The 18,550-nt window shown below is 37.1% G+C and overlaps 1 protein-coding gene across 14 annotated transcripts in view; it reads left to right on the top strand.

Annotated features, from left to right (window-relative positions):
- Positions 1-18,550, top strand: part of NCKAP5 (NCK associated protein 5) — a 1,003,049-nt gene that overhangs the window by 137,626 nt on the left and 846,873 nt on the right. Inside the window, exon 3 of one of the 14 annotated variants that reach the window (XM_011511097.4) lies at positions 10,026-10,145. The exons of the other annotated variants lie outside the window; for them this stretch is intronic. The gene's annotated coding sequence lies outside the window, so the exon portion shown is untranslated. The remainder of the gene's footprint in view (positions 1-10,025; positions 10,146-18,550) is intronic. 14 annotated transcript variants of the gene reach the window in all.

The following is an 18,550-nucleotide window of genomic DNA, read 5'->3' as shown; positions in this document are numbered from 1 at the left end:
ACTATAAATCTATAGTAATCAAGATAGTACTGTGCTGACATAAGGCTAGACATATACATCACAGGTAGAGAATTAAGAGTGCAGAAATGAATTCTCTCACTTATAGTCAATAGACTTTTGACAAGGGAGCCAAAACAGTTCTGTGAGAAAAAGAATAATCTTCTCAACAAATAATGTTAGGATAATTGGAGATTCATGTATAAAAGAGGAAATTCGGATTCCTATCTCAAACCTACCAAAAAAACCCTTAAAATGAATTATAGACCTAAATGTAAGAGCTAAAATTATAAAACTTCCATAATAGAAGTAAATCTTCACTGCCTTGGATTAAGCAATAGTTTCAGATCTGACATCAAAACCATAAGCAACAATAAAAAAACAGATAGCTTGGACATCAGTAAAATTTAAAAAAAAATGTGCCTCAAAGGATATTAGCAGGAAAGAAAAAAAGCCCCATGAAATAGGAGAAAATATTTGCAAATATTATATGTGACAAGGAACTTCTAACCAGAATATATAAAAAAAACTCTTAGAACTCAATAATAAAAACCAAATCACCCAATTAAAATGGACAAAAATCTGAATTGATATTTGGAATACAGATATTTCTCTTAAAAAGACATGCAAAGCTGGAGGTATCACATTACATGACTTCAAATTATACTACAAGGCTATACTGGCCAAAACAGCATGGTACTGGTACAAAAACAGACACATAGATTAATGGAAGAAAATACAGAACCCAGAAATAAAGGCACATACCTACAATCAACTGAATTTTGACACAGTTGTCAAAAATATACAATGGGGAAATGACACCCTAATATATAAGTGGTGCTGGGAAAACTAGAAAGCCATATGTAGAAGAATGAAACTGGACCCCTACCTCTCACCATATATAAAAATTAACTCAAGATGGATTAAAGATTTAAGTGTAAGACCTGAAACTATAAAAATCCTAGAAGAAAACCTTGGAAATACTCTTCTGGACATAGGCCTAGGCAAAGAATTTATGACTAAGACCTCAAAAGCCAATGCAACAAAACAAAAATAGACAAATAGGACTTAATTAAACTAAAAAGCTTCTGCACAGCAAAAGAAATAAACAATAGAATAAACAGACAACCTACAGAATGAGAGAAAATATTTGCAAGCTATGCATCTGACAAAGGACTAATATCCAGAGTCTACAAGGAACTCAAACAACTCAGCAAGAAGAAAACAACTGCATTAGAAAGTGGCCAAAGGAGGTGAACAGACATTTTTCAAAAGAAGACGTACAAGTGACCAACAAACATTTGAAAAAATGCTCAACATCTCTAATTATCAGAGAAATGTAAATCCAAACCACAATGAGATAATGTCTCACACCAGTCAGAATGGCTATTACTAAAAAGTTTAAAATCAAAAGATGCTGACAAAAATGTGGAGAAAAGGAAACTATTTTACACTGTTGGTGGGAATGAAAATTAGTACAACCTCTATGGAAAACAGTATGGAGATTTGTCAAAGAATTAAAACTAGAACTACCATTCAACCCAGAAATCCCACTACTGGGTATCTGCTCAAAGGAAAATAAGTCATTATATCATATTTATTTTGGCACTATTCACAGTAGCAAAGATATGGAATCAACCTAAGTGTCCATCAATGAATCATTTAATAAAGAAAATATTCTATATATTCACATATGTACACACACACAACACCATGGAATACTATGCAGTCATGAAATAGAATGAAATACTGTCTTTTGCAGCAATAAGGATGGAAATGGAGGACATTACCCTAAGTGAAATAACTCAAAAATAGAAAATCAAATATCGTATGTTCTCACTTAAAAGCAGGAGTTAAACAATGGGTATGCACGGACATATAGAGGGAAATAATAGACACCGAGAACTCCAAAGGGAGGGAGGATGGGAGGTGGAAGGTGAGGGTTGAAAAATTATTAGGTACATTGTTCACTGTTTGAGTGATGGGTACACTTAACACTCAAATCTCATCATTATGCAATATATGCATGAAACAAAACTTGCATATGTATCTCCTGAATCTAGTTTTACATAACCCTTTAAAACAATATACAAGTAGCCAATAAACACATGAAAAGATGCTGAACATTATTAGTCATTCGGGAAATGGGAATCAAATCCACAATGAGATACCTCTTCATACCCACTTATAAGTGGCTATAGTTAAAAAAAGAAGGTGGGCAGCAACAACTGTTGAAAAGATGTGGAGAAGTTGGAATCCTCACACACTGCTGGTGAGAATGTAAAATGATGCAGCCACTTTGGAAAACAGTTTGGCATTTCCTCAAACTGATAAACAGAGTTTCCATTTGATCCGGCAATTTCTCTCCTAAGTATATACCCAAGAGTAAAGAAAACATATGTCCATATAAAAAGTTGTACAGGAGTGTTTTAACAAAAATGTGGAAACAGCCCAGTTGTCCAATACTGGTAAATATATACATAAATGTATAAATAAAATATGGTATACCCATATAATAGAATATTAGTCAATTACAAAAAGGAATGAAGCATTGCCACGTGCTGCAACATGGATGATTCCTGAAAACATGATGCGAAGTGGAAGAAGTTAGTCACAAAGATTACTTATCATGATTCTATGTGTGGGAAGTGTCCAGAGTAGACAAATCCATGGAGACAGAATGTAGATGAATGGTTGCCGGGGGCTGGGTAAGGGGTAGGGGATGGAGAAGCACTGCTGATGCGTATGGGGTTTCTTTTTGGAGTGTTAAAAATGTTCTAAAAATAGATTATGGTACTAGTGGTACAACTCTGAATTCACTAAAAACCAATAAAGTGTACACTTTAAATGGATCAATATTATGGTATATGAGTTATACCTCAATAAAGCTGTAAATTAGATGCAATGAATTTAAAGGCATTAAATTCTTTTAAAATTGTGATATTGATCAAAATATTTTAAGGCCAAAGGGATCTTAGAGATTGCTTACTTCATTTTTCTCTATATGTGAGGTTAAGAAATTGAGGACTAGAGAAATTAATTTGTCAGAAGGTATACAGGTAGTTATGGAACCAAAAATACACACCTTATATTTTAATTTCCAAAATGGATCAACATTTTTCTAACCTCCACTGAAACCATCTACACAGCAAAATGTGACGTATAGATGTGGTCATAATTCAGATAATTGGTCAAATATCCAATCCAGGTCAAAATATCCATATGTGACCTGAATTTTATTTTTTGTGTGTGTGTAGGAGACAAATAATAAAACTAACAAGAAAGAAAGACATATAGACAACTGAAAGATTACAGAGGCATGTACTTACATACCTTAGGTAATCTATTAAATTAAAGAAATAAATAAAATTGTCTTTGAAGGAGAGACTTTCAAATTTCTGGGCTGCAATGTCATATATGAATATCTAAAAATTATTCAGTAACCCAAGTAATATTTTAATTTTAATTTTAATGTAAGAAGAAAAAACCTTTGTGCTTTCAGAACTTATTTCTATAACTTATGATAATTGCTTCCACATTTTGACTTCATGTAAAAGGAGAGTAAATCATCTTTGAATAGAAAGTTAGAGTTTCTTCCATTTGCACAGGCAGGTGATGGGAAATTAAATTAGGCTGCCTTCCCCTTTCCTGTACCTAGTTTTTTTGTGTTCATATTTGAGACTTCAATCTTCTCTTCTTCTTGGGGTTTTACATTAATTCAAACTTTAAAAATAACTATCAAACTTTAGAGAAAGAGGAAGGTTTATAAGAACTCATGTAATCAAAGTGTAGTCTATAGGTTGCACACTTCTCAGAGATATTGGTTTGTGAACTACTTTTTAAAAACCGAACTAATCTTCAAACATTGAGAGATTTTACATAGATGATCTGGATTTCTGACTCTCGAAAAACTGAAGAGTTTGGTAAAGTGAACCTTCCTTTCTGCATGGTGGTTTTTAGCTGCAATTGGATGCCAGCTGCCCTTTTTGCATGGGTCCTGCCCAGATGGGCACAGCTCCCAGGGGCGGCTTCACGCATTTACGTTACCTTCCCAACATATTAGTCATTTGGGTTTGCAATCTCTGACTTAGCCCAATTACTCAGCTCTTTATTTTCCCCATAAGGTACTTCTTTAAATGAGTGTGCCCCTAGTGAAATAATTCAGAACTCATTGTCACTATTACCACATTCTTTGATCAAAAGAGCCACAAGCCCTGCTGATTATGTAAGAGAATCAAGTTGAATTGTGCTCCACCTCCCTCTAGCCTCTGAAAAATTATGAACCTGCAAGTATTTTGGATCTTAGAAACATTCTCAATGAAGGTGAGCATTGGTTCTTGGGACAATGAAAAATACTAAAATATCATAATAGTCCATGGCCTTTCAGAAGCCACACATATCTGTACATAAACAGATATTCGGTAAATCTGTGGTATTAAAATTTCATAGTGAAGGGGGTGAAATTAGGGGGAAAAATTAAAGAATTCTGGGTGGCAGGCAGGCAATAAAAATTACATATATACTGAAATAAAGGAAGAACTCAGAAAGACTAATGCCTGGCCTGATATTTTCCTGTCAAATGTAGCTCCTTCTTATAGGAGGAACCCTGAATAAATGTGTAAAGGAAACAGTAATCCAGTCAGGGTGGGGGCACTGGCTTTCATCTAGCACTGCCAGAGCCCATCTGATCCAACTACCCAAATAACCGAGCATTTATTTTCAATAAAAGAGAAAAACAAGAACTTTTAACATGGGTGATATAAGTATAAATTGCTACAGTACAGTCATTTTTGGGGAGCAATTTGGCACTGCCTTCTCACTCAAACATGTGCACAACCTGTGACCCAAGGATTTCCCCATATGAGAAAGAATCTTCTGCCTCTGATCCAAGGATGCCAGAACAAGAATGTTCACAACATTACTGTTTGCAATGTGAAAATGGTAAAAAATGTAAGACAACTAATACCCATTCTTTTGGAATTGGGGTAAACCGTTTTAAGTCCATTCAATAGGATTCCTAAAGTATTTAAAAATAAACTAGAATTCTCTTATCAGCATGGATAAATCTTGCTGCTATAACATTAAGTGAAAAACAATTACAACTGAATATAGAAAGTAGACTATCATATGTACATAAACTAAAACACACATAAAACAGTGCTGTATATCGTTCTAGGTTTATGCATACACAGTAGAAATATAATTTATGCACAGCAAGAATGCTTTCCTACTACAGGGGAGTGGCTATTGCTGGAGAGAAGGTAGGATAGAATAGGGGAATGGGGCTACAACTACATCTACAGTGCTTTTATTACTTAAAAGAGAGGAAAGATTAAAGCAAATATGGCACAAGATTAATCTGTGTTAAATACAGGGTAGTAGGTACATGAATCTCTGTTGCTTTATGTACTTTTCAGTATGTTTAACTTTTTAAAAATGAAACATTTTAAAGCACTATAGAGATTCAAGAATGTATAAAAAAATTCCTCAATCTGGTAATTGGTAGCTACAAAGAAATCAATCCCATTCTTATGGATAAAAACATTACTACTAATTCTACTGAAGTCAGGAGCAAAAGTTTCTGCTAAAAACTTGCTTCCCTGGTCAATGCTGTATGACCAGAAAATGAAACAAGACTTGTAAGTATCGGACAGGAAAAGCCAAAAACGTTGCAATTTTCTATGTAAAAAAATCCAGTAGAAAAAAATAAGCACATTTAGAACCAGAAAGAGTGCTCAGAAAGTTACCTAAGCAGAAGTTTAAAGTTTATTAATCAATAGGCTTATTTCTGGCACTGCCTATAACCAATTAGAAAAAGTAAGTAGAAAAAAATGTAAATAATTCTCAAGAGTAATAAAACATACTTAGTATCTAAAGAAATTATGCCCAAAGGCTATTGAATTAGCTTATTAATTCAATAAATTAATGATTGAAGTAATTTATTAATGCAATAACTATTAATAAATAAGTTATTAATAAAATATTTATTAATTTGGGTCATTGTGCTGTTTACATTCTTTCCTTCTTTCCTTCCTTCCTTCCTCATTCCCTTTCACCATTCCTCCCTTCTTCCTTTTTTTTCTTTCAGTCTTCACATCCTTTACTGAAGGATGTGAACAACACAGTGACCCAAATTAATTATCTGTTGCTGCCCAAAATACCACCCCAATAAGTTGGTTACTTAAAACAATGACTGATTTTCCTCCTGATTCCATGGGATGACCACCTGTGTATTTCTTTTGTTGTTCTCACCTAGAATCACTCATCAGCCTCTGTTTATCTCAGTATTTGACTATAGCTGGTGGGTTCACAGTGGCCTTGACCAGGTATCTGGCAGTTGGTGTGGCTGTCACCTCTCCTCCAGTGGCTGTCACCCTCTTGTGGGCTAGACTGGGCTTCTTCTCAGTATGATAGCCTGAGGGTTCATAGAGAGGGAATGGAAGCTTCAAGACCTCTTAAAGCCTAGTGCTAGAACTCAGTTTCCCTTTTGCCACATTCTATTGGTCAAAAGGTTCATAAGCCCTACCAGATTCAAGGGGTGGAGAAATGAGCACCATCCTTAAGCTAGAAGAGCATAAAAGACACATTTCAAAAGAGAGTTGGGCATCATAGGAAGGGAGGAATTTGTTGCCATTAAACAATCTACTACCCATTTCATGTCGCTGAATGGAAAGACTCAAGAATATAATGATGTAAATTCTCTCCTAAATAATCTGTAAATTTAAATTCAATCCAATTTAATAAAAACCTATATGGTACTTTTTGTTGGACCTGATGAGCTGATTCTCAAGTTGATATGGAAGACAAAAATGAACACAAATGGCCAAGAAAAATTCCAAACAGACAACATGGGAAGTCTGGCCTATATGACATCAAAATTTACTAAAAGCTCATAATTAAAGCAGTGTGATATTGGCACAAGGACAGGTGCATAGATTAGCTTATTTTTTTTTTTACTTGAGGGTCAAGGAAAAGGATTGTGCATATGTTGACTTTTGTTATGATTGGGGGCATTTCAAATCCGTGGGAGGAATACTTTAATCACAGAATCAATGAATTTATATTCTTTTAAAAATAAAGTTAAACCTATGCTTTACGTAGGTTTACAAGACAAAATTATCTTCAGATGGTACCATAAAAATATTAGGAAGACATATGGAAAATGGTCTTTTAATTTAGAACGCATAAAGGATTGATGCATTTGACTGCAAATTAATTATAACATTCTATACCATAACAAAGTGAAGAGACAAGAGGTAGACTGGGGGGAAAATATTTGCAATGTCTCTTAATAAGGAGTTAATATTCAAAATGTATTCAGAGCTCAAAAAGGAAGAGGCAATAGGAGAATGAGCAAATAATTTAAGTAGGCAATCCAGAGAAAAATAGTTCAGATAACCACACATAAAACAAAGATGCCCAGCTTCACCAATAATCATGGATTATAAATTCAGACAATGAAGTCACTTATTTTACCAACAAATTTGTAAAAGCTTTATGATTGGTTCTGTTCAGCTATGATAACTCTATGGAAAACAGGTAGTCTTACATATTCTTAAATATTTTTGGAAGGCAATTAGTCAATTTCTAACCAAATTTAAAATTTTACACTATAATTCCATCTTTTGAGATCTATGCTTTATAGAGAAACTCACACAGGCACAACAGATACATAGACTTGCTCATGGTGGGATGGTCTAGAATCAGAAAACACAAACAACTATCTAAATTTCTACCCATAAGTTAATAAGCAATTTATTGATAATCTGTTTTATAGTACTATGAAGCTGTAAAAACTGAACTAGGCCCAGGTGTTGAATATATCAGGTGAACAAATGCAGTCACGGAACAATAGATGTCAATGCCACTTATATAGAAAGAGAAAAATCAATATATATGTATATAGGTAAACAAATAGAAAAACTGTTAAAAGCATCTCTGCGGAGAAGAGTAGAAAGAGGGAGAGTAAAAGTATACAATTTTCATATTATACTCTATATACATTTGTTATAGCTTATATCTTTTACAAAGAAAATAAATGCATTTAATATGGTATGTTTTTTACAAAATAAAAAAAAATTATCTCATAGATTGGCCAAGTTCTACAACATTTCAAAGGCTGTAACTAGGAGGGTATGGGCTGTGGAAACTTTCTCACAAGAGAAAATGTGGAAGAAACTTGGGATTTTTTTCCTTGAGTAAGAGAAAAATTATATTTGCTCTAGGGAACAGAGCTATGGCTAGTAGGTGAAAATCCAAGAGACAAATTGAAACTTTCTAGGCATTCGAGACAGCCAAATGTGAAAGGGGCTCTTCCGAAAGACAATGTGACCCATTTGTCACTGGAAGCGGCAAGAAGAGATGGGCAAGCCCTAGTGAGGCCTGTCTTAGAAGCAGTAACCGTACTGATGGGTAGGTGAAGAGGGGGCCGGGAAGGCATCATTTAAACCTAAGATTCTAGGATTCCAAATGTCCTGAGTGAAGGGTAACACGAGAATCATGGGGCAAAACCTAAGCCATAGTTGTCTTGGATTCTGCAAAGAACTAAGTCATCATAAGAACTGGCTGGCTGTGCATAGCTTTATGAGAAAATGCTTGGAATTCCGCTATTACATGTACATAGATAAGTTCTCTGTTTTAAGTTTCAGATCCTTTGCTATTGAAGTACAACCCACAGGCCAGAAGCATCAGCTTGTTAGAAATGCAGACTCTCAGGCTCCTCTGTAGCCTTATTATATCAGAATCTGTATTTTAACGAGATCTGCCAGTGATTCCCATGCATGCATTTGAGAAGCACTGGTCTGTCCAAATATCCATAGAACTCCTTTTATTCCTGAGCCTTCAAAGCCTGAATAAAAAGAAACAACCTACACATGGGAAAAAAAAAAAGGCCCAGTAATTGAAGTTTTGATTTTTATTGCTCAAAACTAGGTGGAAATTCTAAGCAGAAGAAAAGAAATGACTATATGTGTGTGTATATACACATGTATGTATTTATGTGTATATGTATGCATAGTATAAATATATATATATGTCTGTATACACACATATATGTGTGTGTAAAACCTAACTCTACTTTCTAGCTATCCATTTTAGTGGGTGGTCATTGACTAGTTTACTGTCTTTTGTTTGTTTGTTTGTTTTGTTTTTTGAGACAGGGACTTACTGTCACCCAGGCTGGAGTGCACTGGCATTATTACAACTCATTGTAGCCTCAACCTCTCAGGCTTAAGCAGTCCTCCTGCCTCAGCCTTTCAAGTAGCTGAGACTACAAGCACGTGCCACCACATCTGGCTAGTTTTTTATTTTTCCTACAGACAGGGGTCTCACTATGTTGCCCAAACTGGTCTTGAACTTCTGAGCTCAAGTGATCCTCCCACCTTGACCTCCCAAAGTGCTGGAATTACAGGTATGAACCACCGAACCTGGCCTTGTTTTACCTTTTTGAGGGAGTTTAGCCCGCTGCCCTCTCAACAAATGAATATCAGTCTCAATTTAATTAAATCATTGAGTAGAAAAAGATAAACATCTTAGAGATTTTTCTCATACATTTCATTTTGGCAGCCATTATTACTTAGGACATCTTTAATGTCATTCTATATTTTCTGGTTCACTAAAAATTCTTCCTATTGTTTTCAGTATGTTAATTGGTTTTAAAGTTTAATCTCTTAATCTTGATTTGGCTTTTAGCATTTCACATCGGGATTATTTTGGGGGGTGGGTGGGTGGAGGGAGATTACTATACATGAAGAATGAATAACCTCTTAAAGTGGAAAAAAAAGCTCCTAGGTAATTGGAAATATTCTAATTACCAGCTAGGGCCTTAGCAAAAATGTACTGGCTTCCAATTTATTGTACTGCACTCATTTCCTGAGTCATTTTGGTGTTTCACTTGTGCACAAAGACATTCAATGGAGAATAATGAATTCTGCAATGTGTGGGGACATCATAGTTAAACCTTTTGCTGGATTTTCAAAAAACATCCCTTTTCATAAACAGTTTTCTTAACAAGTTGTGTTGTCTCTCAGCAGGCTTTGCAGAGTTTAGAGCATATTCTACCCAACTGGCCCCAGATGGAAAATACTGTCTTGAAATTGGATGGCTTTTTAAGTGTAGCTCTCCACAGCCTGCTCAAAGAAAAAAAAAAAGTAAGCTTGAACAGAATGCATTTAGTAGCATGGTCTATAATTCCCCCAGCATCCCACATATTTGGATGTTTTTGCTTTTGGCAGTGGAATTTTTCTAATTTAATTCACTCATTAATGTTAGCAGATGACACAGTGTGAAAATTCTTTTCCCTAGCCACTTATCTAAATATTCTTCCAATCCACTGGGGTTATGTGTACATTTTATTTATTTATTTATAAAATGTATTTATCTGTTTTGTTTCTATACCGACCTTCCCTTTAGGAGTTCACAGGCAACATGTAGACGTTTTATGTAATGTATTATAAATCTTCCTTAAGGCAATAAATGGAGAAGAGTCAGAGGAAAGAAAGAAAGAGTGGTGGTGCAGGGGGAGATCTTTACAAAGGAAGAGTGGGAGAGAAGGAACAGATGGTTTGAGAAGAGCAGCCAGAGCTAAAACGCTTACCCTGGTCTAAGCCCATGCAATTCTGTTTCTTCATTCTTAGTTCATACATTGAAGATGTAGCAATAGTTTGTGTCTGGAAATCAGCTGGCAACACCAGGAATGACAATAAAGGCAAGTCCTCCAGGGTTAGCTCAATAAAAAGTGAATCCTCCTTGCTCAAATCATGTGCTCGTTCATTTGTTCATTCACATGTTTATTTTATCTTGCATTTTACTAATCAATATATAAATCTCCCTCTCTTACATTTTAGGTCTCCTTGAAATTTGAGGACATGTATTCCCTCCCTCCCTCCTTCCCTCCCTCCCTCCTTCCCTCCCTCCCTCCTTCCCTCCCTCCCTCCTTCCCTCCCTCCCTCCTTCCCTCCCTCCCTCCTTCCCTCCCTCCTTTCCTTTCTTCCTTCCTTCCTTCCTTCCTTCCTTCCTTCCTTCCTTCCTTCCTTCCTTCCTTCCTTCCTCATTCCCTTTCTCTGTTCCTCCCTTCTTCTTTTGTTTTTCTTTCAATCTTCAGGGCCTAACACAGGGCCTGGGACAAAATAGGTATAGAATATATATTACTTAATTTTGAATGAATGGAACTCTTTTGAGTGATTATACCAACAGAGTATCTACTCCGGTATTTTAAAACAGGAATCATTTTAATCCCCAGAGTTACGTTGTTAAGGGGATTTTTATTATTATCTTAATTTTATCAGTGAGGAAACTAGAGCAAAGAAATGTGAAATAAGTTGCTCAAGGTCACAGAACTTGTAAGTGGCAGTTGGAGAATGTGAACTCAGGCCTGTCCAGGATGCTGCTACCCAAGATGATGGTGACATGGGACAGCTGGCTTGATGAGGCCTCAAGAAGTGATGAGGAAACTTCTTTGTGTCCCCACTGAGAGTGAGACATAATCCCCAGTTTCTGCAGCAAATGAATAAATATTGGTATTAGAAGGGTTGACGCTGAATTGTATACTTAAAAGGGTGGATTATATGATATACGAATTATATCTCAATAATTTGTTTTAATAGTGAGAGAAATTACTGAATATTGGAAGTTTTCTCTGACCTCTCTTCTCTGACCTCTCTTCCTAAGAAACTTAGTTCAGATTCATAGCAATTTTTTTACTGCTCCAGTTCACTGAGCTGCATGTTGAAAAATAGACAAGATTTCCAGACCCAGACTTTGTGCAGCTCCCTGAGTTCTCTGTGTTGGCCATAGCCATTTATCTGAGGAGGGGCCCATGGGAAAGTGATTCTTAGGGGCCTGTCTGGCATTGAAACCATCAACCGGAAGCTACTGAATATTATTAGTGAGACGTTTAGTGAGCATGAATGTAGGAAACAATTTTTTAAAACCAGTTTTCAACATCATGCAGAATTTTCCTCCACTTGAAAGAAAAGGGTTGTTGTCATGTCTCTCTGAGACTATTTCCAGCCACTAATTTATCTGGCAAGGATGAATACCACATTTGGGAAATTTGTTAGCATTTAATCTTCTTCTAAATCAGTTTCAGGGGGCTGGTAGGATTTTAAAAAATTTTTATGGTTGAAAATTACATCATTTGGCATGTTTTTATACTCATATTCAAAATGGACACAACACTTTTCTGTGTGGGGGTGGTTTTGTTGTCAGAGTGCATGTGAATACACACACACATGCACACATACACTCATATACTCATGCGCATGTACACACATGCTCATACACACATGAACACACATGCACAGATGCAGACTCAACACATACACACATACACATAAGCATGCACAAACACACCCTTACCCATTTATACCACAAATAGCTGTATCAATAGGAGAAAGTTATTGAGCTGATATATCTTCCAAAATGAGACTGCTGTAGGTACGTGTTTAAAGCATACAGAAAGCCAGTGCTTTCCTTTCTATGGACTTAATAAATCAGAATAAAAAGATTTCAATACAAAGAGGACTGGAGTTTCAAACATTCTATTTGGTAGCACTTTGAAAAGAGAGCTAGGTGCACATGGAGAGCAGTGGGAAGAAAGGAGGTCGTGGGTTTGGGGGCATCTGAGTCATGGTTTTCTGCAACATTGGGCTTGCCATTTGAAGTTCTTTCCCTGAAACTCTACGTGAAGACCTCACTCTGAGGTTTTATGATATACGTACATTAACTTGGAATCTAGATTTAATATTTCTACCTTTAGTCAACAATGTTTTCTTAATGAAAAGAAGGATCAGCTTAAGCAGCTTAATTTTGAATGATGAGCCTGAGAGTGGAGATACGGATAAAGGTATTTATCCAAATTGTTTGTATCTAACATTTCTTTTCTTTGGGGTCAGGGTTTGCAGATTAAAAATTGTTGGGTATGGTGGCTAAGGAAAGGTAGTTGCTGCTACCAACAATCATGTGTCCCTCAGCCTTTGAGAAGAGGACGGAGATCAAGAAAAGACTGACATCTTCACCTTCCTAAACTGGTGTTCCATTGACTGCACCTTGGAAATATTGAAGAATCTTAAAATAATAATGTTTGGTTCCCACCCCCAGAGATCTTGATTTATTCCATCTAGGGATGGGCCTTAATGACTCCCCAGGTGACTCCATCTAACATGCGGCAAAGCTTGACAGCCACTGCTCTTAACTGATGGTTGCCAACCCTGGCTGTTTTTACTCTGATCCCTGCAGCCTATACCCCAGAGATTCAAGTGATCTGGTGGGACCTAGGCATTGATATGTTTTTTAACAGTTCCCCAGGTTATTCTAAGGTACAACCAGGGTGAAAACCCATGGAGCTGCCTTGTCAACGACAGGAAACTTACTGTGTTTGTTATTTGTCCTTGATGTGCTCTACTCTGCAGTTATTCTTTGCATGCCTACCGTGTGGGAGCTGGTGCGTTGGATGCTGCAGGGAATATAACAATGAATTTGACACAGTCTCTGTTCTCGGGATGTTTATGAGGCTGCAAAAAATTATATTTTGCATTGTTTGTTGCTTAACGAAGCTGACCGGAAAACATCTTGAATTTAGATGTGGAAAAGCTTGCTGGGGCATTATCTCATTGAAACCTCACAATGACCTGGTGAGAAAAGCATAAAAAATGTAAACTCAGAGAAGTTAGGAATCTACTCAAATTTACATGGCAAAGAAAGCTAGGAACCAAATCTTCTAATGCCTAAGCAAGAGAGCCCTTTTGGCATTACTGTTTTTCTGCATTTCTTCTGGCAATACCATTAATATATGAAAGCAGGGATGGGAAGTGGCAGAATCAGAAAGGCAGAAATTGAGATGGAGAAAGTGGTGTCTAGATCAGGTGTGTGTGTCTGAGTGAGTGAGTATGTGTGTGTGTGTGTGTGTGTGTGTGACTGTGTGTATGTGAGGGGATATGCCTTTGAGATTTTATTCAATGGTGCGGTTTTGTTACTCTCTTGAAAATTATACAGCCTGTTAACGAAGTATATCAGAAAATAGAATTTACTGACATCTTTAGAAAGGTTAAAAATCTGTCTAGCATGAAAAGGCCATTACTAACTGTGAGAAAAAATTGAAAAAAAAAAAAGAGTTATTAAGGCCAACTTAGATTTCTACAGATACTGAGTAGAAGTAGTTTCACTAGCTAGAGATGGGTGTATGTGAGGGGGAAGGGAAGATTAGTATCAATAACTATCAGTCAATAAAAGGATGCTTAATTTCCTGTCTTCTTTCAACTCCATGACCGTTTTCTTCCCCACGGAGGGAAGGAGAGGCCTCCAACCCATTGCTCTGAGGAATATATGTATTCTTTTATAACCAGAGATGTTGGAAGACATAGAAAAGACATTAACACTACTCGGTTATGGCTCTTTGTAGGTGCAGGTAAATAGATTTTAGGTTGATGACATTTCAAAATCATGACAAAATGTTTTCTTTGAGGCTTGGGTGTATCCGAATATGCTTGGCTAAAAAGCAACCTCACTCTTGTAAATGTGTCTAGTATTACTTTGCTAAACAAAATTGTATTTTTGCCCTGCTCTTTATATGTTCACAAAGACAGCTGTGAACATTCATTCATTTATTTATGCAAGCAACAAATGTTCTTCATGTGCTATGCATTAGGTGTTATACTACCTAGGGGAACACAGAACATAAAATGCTCTCTCTGTCCTCTAGAGGCTTAGTATTTATTAGAAAATAATTCCAGACTATTATTTCAGAAGACTGACAATAACAAATCCAGGTATTTCCCAAGGAAGGCTTGCTGCCTTTCCAAAGGCATCTCCATGGGGTGCACATCAAACATTGTCAAGCCTAGAAAAAGGAAATTACTGTAGATGTTTCAAGCAAAGAGGGATTTAATGCAAGGAATTTTTATGATGGTGTTGAAAGGGCTGGAGGAGCCAGAGGGATAAGGTGGCGGTACCCACAGACTGGGGCATTGCTGGTGCCCTTTCTTAGCTGATCTATTGGAGGAATCACAGAAGTTGCTGGAGCCTGCAGTCACCTGCTGTTGATGCTGTTCTGCTAGAGCTGGAAGCAGAATGGCTTCTTCTTTCCCATTGCCTTCTAATCTCCTCTCACTGCCTCCCATTAGCAGAATTCAACATTAACACACTGACCAAGAAGTCTTGATCATGTTTGCATCTGTACATGCACAATACAGAGAAGAGTACAGCAGGGCAAGGTGAGGTGGAAAGGGGGCAGTAAGATCCAACAGTCACATAACAAGCAGAGAGGTGTGGAGTCTGGAGGTAGCCACCATAAGCCCCACTACTCGGAGGTTTCCCTTAGTTTTTTAGACTTAGGAATTTGATTAATAGAACACTCAGATGTGATTTGAAACCTGACTGAAAATAACTGTTATGGACTGAACCATGTCTCCTGCAAATTTCATATGTTGAACCCCTAACTCCCAATGTGACTGTATTTGGAGATAGGGCATTTAAGGAGGTAATTAAGGTTAAATTAGGTCATAAGTGTGGGGCTCTAACGTGCTACAACTGGTGTCCTTAGAGGAAGAGACATGGGGATGTGCACACACAAAGCAAAGGCCATGTGAGGACACAGTGAGAAGATGTCCATCTGCAAGACAAGGAGAGAGGCCTCACCAGAAACTAACTCTGCTAGCACTTGATCTTGGACTTGTAGCCTCCAGAACTATGAGAAAATAAACGTCTGTTGTGTAATCCGCTCAGTCTGTGTTATTCTGTTATGACAGCTCAAGCTGACTAATATGCTAACCAAATAGGTAAATAATAAATATAAAGAGTAAGATGTCAAACTGTCATTTTTAGTTTGCACTAGAAATGTAGTTTTTCAAAAGATTGTCTACTGATATTTGCTGGTCAGCACATTCTTCTTCTATAAGTGATACTGCATAGGAATTAAATAAAATTGGAAGGTTACTTGATGACACTAGTCTCTGAATTAGTTGAGTTAGATGGATGGTACAAATGGCCCAGGTAATCCCAGGCATCTTTAGGATATGATATACTCATTTCCCCCCTGGATCTGCAGTCTCTGCTGTATGTATGTAGTCTTTTCCCAATAGTGCGATCAATGGAATGTTTCAGCCTTTCTGATATTTTCATTGTTAATCAGGTTCCTTTTCATATTGCTGCATCCTGGTTGCCATTTTGTTTCTTTTAGATAGTCTTCCTTTGATCCACTTGGATAAATTTACTCTGAACCTTTCCATGATTGTTTTATGGTCTAACTCACAAATTTTCACCTTCTTGGAGTGGGGCCAGTACATGTAGTTAGGCTGGGAATTGGCTAGGATACACTGCTCTAACTGTACCGCTTGTTGCCATTGTCAGCCCTGATTGGACTGTACGTTTATGATTGGCCAACCCTTATGCCATATTGTTGCTAAATCATTTGAATATTATATCTGCCTATATTATTGGTACCATTAATATGAAAAGAAATGGACCAAATCCATTTGGAAAGCTGTTAAATCAGCTTTCCACATAGGCAGATTGGACTATTTGAGAACTATCAAAAGGATCCCCATTTCCCAAAATGACAGCCTCATCTGCCTGTGAAGGAGCATAAAGTTCAGTAGCTAGAGTTGCTTTTAATGAGTTTAATCATATTTGCCAGAAGGGATGATCAATATATCTAATATTTAAGTCTTACCTACCTGTATCTGTCCCCAGCCTAACTATTTCAATGGCTTGTCTCATTAATCATCAGAAAACCCTACTATGAAGAAGGTCCTATTATCAATGCTGTCATATAGAGTAAGCAGTGGAAGCTTAAATAGGTTAAATAATTTGTTGAATGTTACCTGCTAGTAGGGAGTAAGGTAGGGAATTTAAAACCTAAGATTAACCTTTGTGTTTAGCATAAGAGCTGAGAGAGATACATTAGCTTACAAGCCTCTGTAGTTTTTGCCTGTAACTCAGGACTTTTTTCACGCATTCTCTTCCTGGCTATTTTCTTCCTAAGAAATGGGTCCTCTCTCTCTTTTTATTTTTATTTTTATATTTTGAGATGGAGTCTCGCTCTGTAGCCAGCCAGGCTGGAGTGCAGTGGCGCGATCTTGGCTCACCGCAACCTCCGCCTCCTAGGTTCAAGCAATTCTCCTGCCTCAGCCTCCTGAGTAGCTGGGACTACAGGTGCTCACCACCATGCCCAGCTAATTTTTTTTTTTTATTTTTAGTAGAGATGGGGTTTCACCATGTTGGCCAGGATGGTCTCGATCTTTTGACTTCGTGATCCGCCTGCCTCAGTCTCCCAAAGTGCTGGGATGACAGGTGTGAGCCACCGTGCCCGGCCGCTTGGCACTTTGGCACCACCTGCTGGAGGTTATTTCCTTCATACTGTACCTACCACAGTTTAGAGCTGTTTGTTTGCTTGTTTTCTATATGCCTCACTAAAATATGAGTTCCACAAAGGCGGGGACTTTGTTTTTCTTGTACATGACTGTGTCACTAACATGTAAGGATTGTTTTCCATACAGTATTCCTAGGGTATTCCTACTGTCTTCTGTACAGTAGGCACTCAATGCATATGTGCTAAAGGCCAAAGCACAATCTATTATGAGCTATCAAACTCCCATGCTCTTTGGGATCAAGACTTAGGAGGGTGTGTTTTTGGTGGAGAGGGAAATATGAGGGTCAGAGTAGTCTCTAGCTGGTTCATCACTGCAGAGGGTGTTCTGAACTACCAGTGTTTACAGTCACTGAGACTGGGGGAGAGGGAGAATGCTACAAAGTAGGCAGGAACAGCTGAAAGTAGAAAAGGCAGCCTCCCAAACAAATTTCAGTTGACTAGTGGTCATGCCTATAGCAGTATACAGAACTAACTTCTTTTCTGAAAAATACTGCCTAGAATTTTAGAAAATGATATTGAAAACTTTGGATTTTATCCTAAATTCTGATTGAACTCTTAAGAGTTTCTGAGTGGACCAGTGATGTATTAAAAATTAGTGTTCTTGAAAGTAAGAGATAAAATGACTAAGATGGAGGAGGAAGCCTAAGCTGGAATATGAGCCCATCAGTTTCTCATGATTGACTATAGTTTGGGCATTCCCCATCTCAGGCACCACTGTCTCAACCCTCTTGATGAGGAAAACCAAGAGAGACAGCCCACATCCTGTGGGCCATGAAATCCTGCCTGTTTGATCCATGTCAGGCTTGGAGCAATTGAGAGTTGTGGAACATATTTCTTTCCAATTATATTAAAAAGTTAATTGGTATAGCATTGTATTTCATCTCTTCTGCATCAGCAGTACAATGTCTATGTTTATTTACAAGGATTATGAGCAATTTCTATATCTCAAAGCACCTTCTGAATCATCAAGGATATATTGAATTATATTGACTCATATTTCAGGTTAACTGTTTTTAAATGTAATCTGTGGGTAATTATAACTTACATATGAGTTGTAATTTATGGCATCCAAATCATATTCCCATACATCATTTGATTGCTATCATCATGTTTTGTAGTTGAGAAAAATGAGTTTCTGAGAGGTTAAATGACTTGTCCAAGGTCACTTGGCTAGTGGATAAGAAATCC

The sequence above is a fragment of the Homo sapiens genome, chromosome 2 (genome assembly GCF_000001405.40).
Source record: "Homo sapiens chromosome 2, GRCh38.p14 Primary Assembly".
NCBI classification, from domain to species: Eukaryota; Metazoa; Chordata; class Mammalia; order Primates; family Hominidae; genus Homo; species Homo sapiens.
This window is presented reverse-complemented; position numbering and strand designations above follow the sequence as displayed.